General features: G+C 40.1%; 1 long non-coding RNA gene across 2 annotated transcripts in view; it reads right to left on the bottom strand.

Moving 5' to 3' along the window:
* LINC00670 (long intergenic non-protein coding RNA 670) overlaps nt 1–13,426 on the bottom strand; it is an 87,220-nt gene that overhangs the window by 17,227 nt on the left and 56,567 nt on the right. The window lies entirely within an intron of this gene.

Raw genomic sequence — 13,426 nt, 5'->3', positions numbered from 1 at the left:
CACACACACACACACACACACACACACACATTGAGCCCCATGTGCTCCCATCATAAAAAATGTCTCAGAAGTTTGGCTTGTTCAATTTTTTTTCCTAAAAAACAGAACATTTTTTCCTCTTGCAAAATCTTTTGCAAAACTCAAAATACAAAACAGATAAAAGCAGAGCCCTCTATGCTGCAGTAGCACCCGGGACTCCAGCTTCTCTGCCTTTGTGCTCCTGGGGAATGTCTCCGGAGCTGTAGCACCCCTCAGAATGGATTTGGAAAACACTGTGGTAGGAGATGAGGAAGGATGGAAGGACATAGAGGCTTTAGTTTGGCAAACTTAACTGTTGAATAAGTGTCAGAGAGCTGGAGAGCAAGTTGAGGCATTGCAGTGGAAACAGGTAGTGACGAAGTGGGGCATTAGCCCTCGGACTTGACCTGTTACGAACTCTCCCAGTGAGGAGGGAGCAGAGGCAGGCAGAGCTGTCCCAGGAGCCTGAAGCAGATTTATTAATGGGATAGACAAGCCTGAAAGTTAGAAACTGAGCTTTATTACAGTTAAATGGCAGAACATAGGCTTTTATTTAGATGTCTCTTGTCTTTTTCTTTTCACTTTCTAAAAATGACATGTAAGTTTCTATATTACCTACAATTTATAGAGCCCACACTCATACACTCTCTTTTGCTTTGGGGGGTTTGTATATACTGACTTTACATGGCACTGGATCATTTATACTTAACATGAAATTTAATTCATTCTACTTCTAAATAATTATATTTCTTTATATACCACACTAAATGATTTTTTAATGCCTGAAGAAGATCCAAACTTGTATTTCTGCTATGCCATTCTGTCTCTCTCTTTTAAAAATTAAAACTTTTGTTATTGGAAATTTCAAATATATACAAAAGTTGAGAGAACAGTATAATGAACACTCATGTACTCATCATACACCTTCAACAATTTACAAATGGCCAGTCTGTTCCATGTATATTTCTACTGCCAGTCCCCTGGATTACTTTGAAGCAAATTTCAGACACATATTTCATCTGTGATTACAGTTAATTCTTGTTATTCATGGTAGTTATGTTTTTTAAAATCACTGTGAACACTGAATTAGTGAATACTGAATCATTGCTCCTAGGGAAAATACAGGATTAGGTTCCTGAGAGCCTCTGGCCACAACATTTTTGTCAACTGATTAATACATAAACTTGTATAATGCATGTTTCTGTTTAAAGACACTTTATTTATGTTGTTGATTCATTGACATTGAATTTACCGCCAACAGCACTATAAGTAATGCCAGAATGAAGCTTACTGAACACATGCATTTTCTCTGTAAGGCACACATAGCGTTCTTGTACTTAGGAACACTATGCAGGGTTTCAGCACCATGCTTGTGAACCCCTTCCTTACACCTTATACAAAAATTAACTCAAAATGGATTAAAGACTTAAATGTAAAACCCCAAACCATAAAAACTCTAGAAGAAAACCTAGACAAACCTTGCGGACATAGTCATGGGCAAAGGCTTCATGATGAAAATGCCAAGTCAAAATTGATAAATGGGATCTAATTAAACTAAAGAGTTTCTGCACAGCAAAAGAAACTATCATCAGAGCGAACAGGCAACCTACAGAATGGGAGAAAATTTTTGAAATCCATCCATCTAACAAAGGTCTAATATCCAGAATCTACAAGGAACTTAAACAAATCTACAAGAAAAAAACAAACAACCCCATCAAAAAGTGGGCAAAGGATATGAATGGACACTTCTCAAAGGAAGACTTTTACACAGCCAACAAACACATGAAAAAAAGCTCAACATCACTGATCATTAAAGAAATGCAAATCAAAACCACAATAAGATACCATCTCATGTCAGTCAGAATGGTGATTATTAAAGCGTCGAGAAACAATAAATGCTGCCGAGGCTGTGGAGAAATAGGAATGCTTTTACACTGTCGGTGGGAATGTAATTTAGTTCAACCATTATGGAAGACAGTATGGTGATTCCTCAAGGATCTAGAACCAGAAATATCATTTGACTCTGCAATACCATTACTGGGTATATACCCAAAAGAATATAAATTATTCTACTATAAAGACACATGCACACGTATGTTTATTGCAGCACTATTCACAATAGCAAAGTCATGAAACCAACCCAAATGCCCGTCAATGATAGACTGGATATAGAAAATGTGGTACATAACACAATGGAACACTACACAGCCATAAAAAGGAAGGAGATCATGTCCTTTGCAGGGACATGGATGAAGCTGGAAGCCAACATCCTCAGCAAACTAACACAGGAACAGGAAACTAAACACCACATGTTCTCACTCATAAGTGGGAGTAGAACAATGAGAATACGTGGACACAGAGAGGGGAACAACACACACCAGGCCTGTTGGGAGGGTGGGGAGTGAGGGGAGGAAACTTAGAGGACAGGTCAATAGGGGCAGCAAACTACCATGGCACACATATACCTGTGTAACAAACCCGCACGTTCTGTACATGCATCCCAGAACTTAAAGTAAAATAGTAATAAATAAATAAATAAATACAAAGTGTAACCAAAGTCTCATGTTCCATTATTCCACAGGAAATTTAACAATCATTGAAATATTAAATATCCAGTCTGGGTTCACATTTCCCTGATTATCTCATAATTTGTTTTTGACACATTTTGTTCATTTGAATCATCTTTTAGAGGTTTTATCAACTTTGTCAACCAGCCTCAACTTTTCCATTTATATCCACGACATTTTAGCAGCGTTTATAGATGGCGCACCAAGGCCTTGATTCAAGGAGATTTCCAAGAGCTCACGTCAGGGGTGCTTTTCCATTGGCTGCTCCGGTGGGGGCTACTTTGCATATCTTCAACTATGGGTGGGTTTCATCTGACTTCTTGCCTCTGCACTATATTCAGCAGAAATTCCTCCAAGTTGTTTTCATGTGGATAATGCTTTTCCCTATTTTGCAGCATTAATGCAGATATTTTCACTAGTTTTTCTGTGTGGGGGGAATAGCAGTTCTATGGACATTTGGAAGAGGAGTAGGAATAAAAACATGTGCTTAATCAGTCATCCTTAACTGAAACGATGTAGTCTTAACAGATTTACAGCACTCTTCATTTTACAACCACTTAAGTAAGTTTATAAAGTTAAAACAGACCAAAGAAGCATCCACCATTTAAAGGACTATTCAGCCCCCTAATTTTTAGATGCAATGAAAAATTCATTAATTAAGAAAATTATTTTCTTCTAAAATGATTTGTTGGACATCTGTCATATGCCAGGCTCTATGTTAAATGCCAGTTATAAAAAAGAATAGGCACAGTCCCTGTCCTCATGCTTCTTACAGCCTACACAGCAAGGGGGTTATACACATAGGAACAGCAGGATCCACAATGGCCATCACTGGGAGCAGAGGATTCTGGGAGCAGAAGTGATTCATTCCACCTGGGGTTCCTGTGCTGGGAAAGCTTCATGAAGGAGGAGATATGGTGGCGGGAGGGTAGATGAATGGACACTAAGAAGACGGTAAAGAATGTGCTTGGCAACTAATGGGTAACCTGGTGTTTCTGGATCATAAGGACTGAAAAGAAAGCCAATGTGAGATTATGAGAGTCTTTAATGTGAAGACTTGGGGCTTTATCTTCTCAGGCAGTAGAAATCCATAGACACTCCTAAAAATAGTATTGTGACATGATTAAAAGTTCAGTGAAATAAGAAACAGCAATCAAATGAATCATTCTTTAAGGATCAAGAAAAGACTATAGAAAAGACTATAATCAAACTTACTCCAAATCTAACCAAAATTTAAAAGTGTTCCAGATATGAGATAAACAGTATATAAACTTGGAAAATCCCTTTAAAAATTTTTAAGATAAAAAAAGGAAAGCAAAAATAATTTTCATTGCAGTTCAATCTTAAGCCCTAACTTATTTCGTACTTTTATAAAGAGAAGGACATATGGACCCCAGGTTCATAGTTTGATTACCAGCAGTACACCTGACCACACAAGCAGCCAGGACACAGACTTCTCAGTGTTGCTACCCTTTTTCTTCTGACTCAAAATTTGACTTTTCCTCCAGGCCAGTGAAAGCAAGCGCTTCTGCCACACACTTTCCACTATCTGTTTTTCTCTCCTGATACCTGAAATACAGGAAAGGAGCATGATTTCCTGATCTACCTTTGCACTCGTGATGGTATCTTACCTAATTCTTCTGAATTTTAATTTTCACCCCAGATGAGTGTTTATCTCTTTAACTTTATACATGCTACCCCACTCCCCCAAGTGCTAGAATGCTCCAGACTTTATTATTATTAGAACTTTTAAAGAATTTTGGACATACTGGTAATTATTTTCAGACACCAGGCCTTTTGCCAAAAATCTAGAATCAGTTTTGGACCAGTTTAGAATCTCCGGGTCTTTGTGAGTGATAGAGAACATCTCGGGGAACACTTTTCAGAGTCCCAGAATGCTCTTTTCCAGCGAAGACACCTCACAGCCACAGCTCTGTATGTCTGTATTAGCACTTTCCTCAGACACACCCTGGTCTCCATCAGCCTCTCTAATAGATCAGAGCACACGGCCTAAGGCCCTCTTGGTCTGCACTTATTAGCAAGTTACTTTAGGGCTTTGCAGACAGCAGAGGAATCTTTTGTTCATCTCTATCTATAGTTCTCCAACTGCTGACATTTTCTAAGGCCTTAGAATCACATATACCAGAATTGGAGGGAGCTCAGAGGCTACCTAAACCATAAATGCTCACGTTTTATTTTTGCATCAAAATCTTTCGTTCAAACATAGCAAAATGTTAAGCTCAAATTTTCATCTTACAAGGGAGATCATTGCTTGATATAAAACGAATAAAAGTATAACTCCTGAGGGTGCACAGGGCACCTCTGCTAAAAATCCTTGGGCTCTGCAGAGCATAGTTTGAAAACCAATGGTTAATTGAACTTTTTATGAAAGCGTAAGTCATGAAAATAATGTTCAGAGACATTAAGCCATTTGTCCGCAGGGACACCATTGGAAGAAAAGTCAGTATCCTAATTCCAGTCCTTTGATGGATCCCAAACCCCCAGGACTTTCCATGGGGTCATATATACTGCCCACTTATTTGCCAGTCTTGTCTCCAAAAGCTTCTCCTAAGGTAGAATTGAAGACATTCATTTTGATGACCCATTTACTTGGTGATTCACCTCTATTTTTTTTTCTATATACAATTCACAATTTTGCTCGTAAGGTACAAACTTGTGTTTTGGGCATCTTGTACCTAAAGCGATAAAGTCTGGACGAAGAGCACTGTTCCTCATTAAGATGTTAGACTTCTAGCTATATTGCTTTTGGTGAATTTTCTCCTCAAACCAGTTGACTGTTTTCATAAATGTTTCGCTCTGCCTGGCAAAACAACGGGTTGATCAGTTGGCTGTTTTTATGAATGTCTTGCCCTTTCTGGCAAGATTGATTTTTCATTTTGTTTTGTTCAAACATATCAAAATGTTACACTCAAATTAAAATCTTATAAGGGAGATCATTGCTCAATATAAAACAGATGAAAGTAGAACTCGAGAGGTTGGGTCTGGATAGTGTGATTGTATCGTTTGTCTTCCAAACGTGGACATTTTTGAAAGTAAACGGGGGTTCGATTAATTAGTAACCTGGGACAACAGGTGCAATCCTGGACTGTCCTGGACAAGCAGGACAGATCACCTGTTGTCCTGTTATAGTTTCCAGGTCACCTAAAGCTGGGATGAAGTTGACAACATTGCAGTTAATAAACCACAGGAGAAATTAGAGAAGAAATAACACTAAGAGTAATCAAAGACAGAAAATATGAGAAACTGGTGTGACTGACAGCTTTACAACCAGAATTGAAGCTTTGTGTGTGGTTGATTGGACCTTGAGCCCAGAGGAGTGGGTAGCCCAGGTGGGCAGAGAGTAGAAAGGAAGAGAAGAGAAGCTCCCAAAGGAGAACCAGTTAGAGGGCAGAAGTAGCCATAACAAGGGAATTTGGCTCCTGCATTCTCTTCAATTGTCTGTGCAGAATAGCATACGTGAGACATTCTAGCTGGAAAATCCCCAAATTCCAGAAACAATGGCCTTATGCAAATCGTAGGAGACATATCTGTATATGGCCTGACAAGGATGAACTCTGGAATGTTTTGATGGAAGAGAAGGAAGTTGGCATTGCCTCAGCAAATGACATCGGGGTTAGAAAGGACAGCTGCTCACATTCCTGGCTGGTGTTGCATCCATCAGAGCTGCTGAGTGCTGCCTATGTCTGCCTGTGGCCACATCAGCATCCCCAAACCAGGCTTGTAGGGGGCTCATCATTAAGAGGCTATTCTGTCCCTTGATTCAAATTTTATTTTGCAGAAAGGCAGCCATTTTGTATGGCTTGATATGTCACATTTACACAGTCCTCTCTGTTTCTCAAGAAAGAAAACCATATAACCTTTAAAAAGTAGAAATCTAGAGTCAAAAAGGCAAAGTTGGGTCGTGCTCTGGTTGAATGGCTCACGCCTGTAATCCCAGCACTTTGGGAAGCCGAGGTAGGCAGATCACCTGAGGTCAGGAGTTCGAGACCAGCCTGACCAACATGGAGAAACCCTGTCTCTGCTAAAAATACAAAATTAGCCGGGCGTGGTGGTGCATGCCTGTAATCCCAGCTACTCAGGAGGCTGAGGCAGGAGAATCACTTGAACCCAGGAGGCGGAGGTTGCAGTGAGCTGAGATTGTGCCATTGCACTCCAGCCTGGGCAACGAGGGCCAAACTCTGTCTCAAAAAAAAAAAAAAATTCACCCTGATATCTCTATATTTATGTGCTATTCACAACCATGGCTAGTGTCCATTGAATATTTTCTATGTGCTTTACAGGTTTATCTCAGGTGACACTTGTGACTGTAGGGTGGCCAACCATCCCGGTTTGCCTCGAACTGTTCTGCTTTTAGCACTGAAAGTCCCATTTCCAGGGAAAACCCTCAGTTCCCGTCAAACCACAACATTAGGCCACTCTACTTACAATATTCCAAAGAGGCTGGTTTATTTTCTTACCCATTTCACAGATCGGACTTTACAGATGACCTAACTGAACTTCAGACAAATTAAGTCAATTTTGTAATCCATGAGACTCCTAGAACATGAGGCAGCAGGATTTGAACCCAACTCTGCCTGACTTCAAAGCCAGTGCTCTCAACTATTACACTCTCACCTCTTTGTTCTCACTGATATAAAACCAGAGATATTAACACTAATGATGAACCGCATCCCACTAACAAGGCAACTTCCTGATCGCTAGTGAGAACTTAAATTATGTTTCCATATGTTATATAGCACGTGGAACATTAGAGTTGAAAGCATTCCTAGAAGGCATCTAGTTGGCGCTATTTAATTCATATTTGAGCCTCAGAAGGGTAGAAGGCATGACTCAATGTCACACAGCAAATGAATGACAAAACTGAGACTGTATTGCAAGTCTTCTGAATCTCAGTGCAGTGCTTGCTCTCTTTTCCATGAAGTCATATAATTTCTCAGTGCTCTCTTTTCCATGAAGTGATACAATTTCTAAGCTTTTCAACAAAGCATATTTGAAATTAGAAACTTAGCATGGACACTTTGCCAGTAACTGGGGGGGTTCTGAGTAAATTCAGCATTTCACAACATGGCATTTTATAACTGTGACAGATGACAGGGACTACAAAATTATACACTGATCTTTCTTTATTTTAAATTGGTGATTACCTATAAGGCTCATCCATCAAGGGCAGGCAGCCTAGAATTAAACCCATATTCTACACAAGGACAATCATTGCTTCTCTAGCTAATAGCTTTTTCCTACAGTTCTAGATGAGAAAGGGCATTGAGATTTTTCTCCATCTATGGATGGTATAGAAACAGTCAACTTGCTAAGGTGTGACTTGGACCAACAGCATTTCATCTGGAAATATGAAATTTCAGGCCCCACCCCGGACCTTCTGAATCAGAATCTGTATTTTTGCAATACCTCCTAGGAGATATGTATGTACATCACAGTTGAGAAACATTGCTTGAAGGATTGCAGAAGAATTTGTCTGCTATTAACGGGCTTTTGACAGTCAGCTTTGTTTTCCCTAGAACTGATTTGTAAGAACTGCACACAAGATGTCTATACCCAGTAGAGTCACCTGGATGTTTTTTAGGCAGCTAATCTGTGTTAAAGTAAGATGGGTAAACAGAGGCAGGTGACACATCCATCTGTGTAGAGCCTGTTTCCTAGAATTCCAACCTGTGGATTTTTCTTCTCCTTACAGACTTGATAGGACTTTGTTGCATCTCTCCCATCTCTGTAAACAAAGACTTTCTTGATGCATTCTCATTTGGCCTGAAATGGTATTGAACAAGTATAAAACAATAAAAGGACTTGAAATAGCCCCTTGGAATGCTTTGGAATCAAATTTGACTTAACGTTGTGAGAAATCACTTCAAACCTTTTCTCCCATCCAAGTCCAGTTTCTCCTTTGACGTGACCGTCCCGTTACAAGGACATAGATTGAATAACTAGTTATGAATTCCGCCATTGCTTCCAGAACTGAATTTTACAACTCTGTTAAGGATTGTTGACTTCTTGATCATGGCTGGTGTTTTCCCTTTTTTCCTGCCAAAACAGTAAATCTTCCTGCTTTCCTATAATCTCCTACATATGAATTTTTTTGCTGTTGATGGAGTAACTAAGCTGAACAAACTGCCATCTTAAGTCAAATATCAACATAAATAGCTATTTCATGTTACAAGTATTCTTTTTTTAAAAAAGCAAGACTATCTTATCCCAGGTTCCCAGAAGGATTTGAATATATATTTACTTATCTCATGTTGCCCAAATATCTCCAGGCCTCACCAGCCTGGGGCTGGGAATGAGGTTACATCCACATCTATGCCCAAATTATAATACTGTGAGCTCCAGAAAGAATAAAACCTCCTTTCCTATTGTTAGTTGGTCACTTTCAGGTGGTCCCAAAGGGATTCTTCCTAGGTATGCACAAATCATGCTTTCGGCTGAAGGCCTCTTCTGTCCCAGCCTGTCCTGTTGCGAAGCCTAATTTCTAAACCCATCTTTCTCAATAACTAGACAAAAACACTCAGGCATGTTAATGAATAAAAACAAATATCTGGAGAGTGGGTGATAACTAGCATCATCTGAACCCCAGCTTAGATAATGACAGGTGCCGTATGACTCTGAGTTGCGAAGCACAACCTTCAGCTATTATCCCTTGATCAGGTGTGACAATGTAGGAGCCGGGGCAGTGGCTTTGTTTTTTGCTTTTCCCAAATCCATATATATTCTTAAAGCAATTTCAGCTATGTATTCAGGAGGAAGCAAAAATGAATGAATGAAAGCACCCCTGTATATCTACATAGGTGTTTCAGTAGCCATGCCCAAAATTTCATGCAAAGACCCTTACAAAGAGTCTATTTTCTATTATTGTACATACACTGCAGATATTCCAGAGCCTCCCAAGCTTGCCAATTTTGTTTTCTAGTTTTCATATTAGAGATGATTCTTAGAAAAATGCTCTGTGTCAGAAAGGAAAAAGACAAAAGACAAACCAAGAGCATCTCAATCTATAGCCATTTAGCACTCAGGTCAATGAGACATCACTACGTGATTACTCAGTTTAATAATTGATATTTATAAGGTGACCTGACTCATAAAGGATGGATGGATATTGCCCACTATACCCTATATAAGGAGTGAAGGAAGTGTGTTAGAAACAGTCCCCTCAAAACTGAAAATATATTTTTTTGACACTCAGAGCTAAGAGAGGCAAGAAAATGTAACATCAAAGATATCTGCTGGGCAAAAAAAGTTCCCAAGGTGTAGGATCAGGGAATATAGGAAGTGAACTTTCTTGGATTCTCCCACTTCCCATCTTTGAATGAATTAACCTCCTTTAGCAAGACAGTCATGTGAATCTGTTGGGCAGAGATCTTCTGATTATCCCCAGGACACTGACAAAGACCCGATCTTGGTCTTCCATTCTGATGCTGGAATTACAATTCTGAAGGCCCTGTAATGCCACTAGAATTATAATTCTGGGGTCCATGCATTACCCCAAGCATCTGAATTGTTTTGAGAATGGAGAGAAGTATGATTTTTTTTTTTTTGATCAACAGAAACTTAGTACAGTATCTGACACACTGTAGATACCCCATATTTGCTGGGTGAATGAGATCACCCCACACATTCACTGCTGCTGCTTTCAGGGTACTCTCAAGCCTTAAGAACATGAAGAGATACCTGTGCCTGGAACCAGCAGGTAGGTAGAAGAGGGGAAGAAAATGGGCAACACCGTTTTTCTTATTTTTGCCCGCTAAGTCCTGTAATGAACCTCTGACTTAAGAGTTTGGATGCCAAGAGGGCATCTTTTTTCCCTTTTATGTTTTGTTTTGTTTTGTTTTGTTTTGTTTTTTGAGATGGAGTCTCGCTCTGTCACCCAGGCTGGAATCCAGTGGTGCAATCTTGATTCACTGCAACCTCCATCTCCTGGGTTCAAGCAATTCTCCTACCTCAGCCTCCCGAGTAGCTAGGATTACAGGTGCATGCCACCATGCCCAGCTAATTTTTGCATTTTCAGTAGAGATGGAGTTTCACCACGTTGGCCAGGCTGGTCTCAAACTCCTGATCTCAGGTGACTCGCCTGCCTCAGCTTCCCAAAGTGCTGGGATTACAGGCATGAGCCACCATGCCTGACCCCTTTTTATGTTCTTTTCTTATTTTACACAGTATTCCTTCAGTTCTTATCAACCCCCATGATTTAAAATATTAGGCTATTTAAATCATGAAAAATCATGATGCATGTAAAGGTCTGTAATCTTCATATTTTCAACTTCCTATTGAAAATCTCAATTTGAAGAGCTCCTTTTGATTCTTCGAACTCAAATCCAAAACAGACTCAATTATCCTCTCCGACACAGATCTTCCTGCTTGGTTTCTTAATTCATGGGCCAGTGCCCCCACCCACCCAGTTGCCCAAGACTGAAAATAGCTTCATGCTTTACTCCTTCTTCTCCCTTACTAGTAGTATCCAACCAATCTTCAAACACAATTCAGTCTATTTTCTAAGTTTCTCTCGAATCTATGCATTTCTTCCCAATTCCTTTACCTATGCTTGTCATTAGTGGTATCTCGAATATGCTTGCAATGCCAACGTGTGTATTGTGTGACCTGTGGGCACATGATTTGTATTATCATCCATAGACATACCTTGTTGTATTGTGCTTTGGGTTTTTTTTTTTATTTTGAGCTTTGCAAATACTGTGCTTTTTTACAAATTCAAAATTTGTGGCACCTGTGTGTCGGGCAAGCCCATTGATGTTATTTTTCCAACAGCACGTGTTCCCTTCATGTCTCTGTATCACATTTGGTAATTCTCATAATATTTCAAGCTTTTTCATTATTATATCTGTTCTGATGATCTGGGATCAGTAATTTTCTTTTCTTTTCTTTGAGATGGAGTCTTGCTCTGTTGCCTAGGCTGGAGTGCAGTGGCATGATCTCGGCTCACTGCAACCTCCGCCTCACAGGGTTCAAGAGATTCTCCTGCCTCAGCCTCCTGAATAGCTGGGATTACAGGCATGTGCCACCATACCTGGCTAATTTTTGTATTTTTAGTAGAGACGGGGTTTCACCATGTTGGCCAGGTTGGTCTCGAACTCCTGACCTCGTGATCCACCCACCTCGGCCTCCCAAAATGCTGGGATTACAGGCATGAGCCACCAAGCCTGGCCAATCAGTGTTCTTTGATGTTACCAGTGCAATTGTTTTGGGTTGCCAAGAACCACACCATATAAGATGGCAAACTTAATTGATAAATGTGTGTGTTCTGAATGTTCCACTGACTTGCAGTTCCCGTCTCCTTCCCTCTCCTTGGGCCTACCCATTCCCTGCGGCACAACAATATTGAAATTAGGCCAATTAATAACCCTACAGTGTTCCGTAAGTGTTCAAGTGAAAGGAAGAGTCACACATCTCTCACTTTAAATCAAAAACTAGAAATGATTAAGCTTAGTGAGGAAGGCACGTTGAAAGCTGAGATAGGCTGAAAGTTAGGCTCCTTGTGCCAAACAGCTAGCCAACTTGTCAATTCAAGGTAAATGTTCTTGAAGCAAATGAAAAATGCTACTCCAGTGAACACTTGAATGATAAGAAAGCGAAACAGCCTTATTGCTGATATGGAGAAAGTTTTAGTGGTCTAGATAGAAGATCAAACCAGCCCACAACATCCCCTTAAGCCAAAGCTTAATCCAGAGAAAGACCCTAACTCTATTTAGCTCTATGAAAGCTCAAAAGAGGTGAGGAAGAGGCAAAAGAAAAGTTTGAAGCTAGCAGAGGTTAGGTCATGAAGTTCAAAGAAGGAAGCTGTCTTCCTAACATAAACGTGCAAGGTCAGGCAGACAGTGCTGATGTAGAAGCTGCAGCAAGTTATCCAGAAGATCCAGCCGAGATCATTAATTAAGGTGGCTGCATTAAAAAACAGATTTTGTGGCCCGGAGTGGTGGCTCATGCCTGTAATCCCAGCACTTTGGGAGACTGAGGCGGGCGGATCCCCTGAGGTTGGGAGTTTGAGACCAGCCTGACCAAAATGGAGAAACTCCATCTCTACTAAAAATACAAAATGAGCTGGTGTGGTGGCGGGCACCTGTAATCCCAGCTACTCAGGAGGCTGGGGCAGGAGAATCGCTTGAACCCGGGAGGCGGAGGTTGTGGTGAGCTGAAATCGCTCCATTGTACTCCAGCCTGGGCAACAAGAGTGAAACTCCATCTCAAAAAATAATAAATAAATAAATAAATAAATAAATAAATAAATAAATAACAGATTTTGCATGTGGACAAAATAGGCTTCTGTTGGAAGAAGATTCCATCTAGGACTTTGATAGCTAGAGAAGAGAAGTCAATGTCTAGCTTCAAAGCTTCAAAGAACAGTCTGATTCTCTTGTTAGGGACGAATGTAGCTGGCAACTTTAAGATGAAGCAAATGCTCATTTACCATTCTGAAAATCCTAGGGCCCTTAAGAATTATGCTAAATCTACTCTGCCTGTGCTTCCTACATGAAATAACAGCCTAGATGAGAGCACAACTGTTTGCAGCATAATTTACTAAATATTTCAAGCCCACCATTGGAACCTACTGCTCAGAAAAAAAGAATTCCTTTCAAAACACTACTTCTCATTGACAGTGACCAATGCACCTGGTCACCCAAGAGCTCCGATGGAGACAAAGGTTGTTTTCATGGCTGCTAACTCAACATCCATTCTGCAGTCCATGGATCAAGGAGTAGTTTTGACTTTCAAATCTTATTTAAGAATACATTTTGTAAGACTATCACTGTCATGGATAGTGATTCCTCTGATGGATCTGGGCAAAGTAAAGTGAAAAGCTT

This window comes from Homo sapiens, chromosome 17 (assembly GCF_000001405.40).
Source record: "Homo sapiens chromosome 17, GRCh38.p14 Primary Assembly".
Classification (NCBI taxonomy): Eukaryota; Metazoa; Chordata; class Mammalia; order Primates; family Hominidae; genus Homo; species Homo sapiens.
Note: the sequence above shows the minus strand (reverse complement) of the source record. Positions and strands in the feature narration are given on the sequence as shown.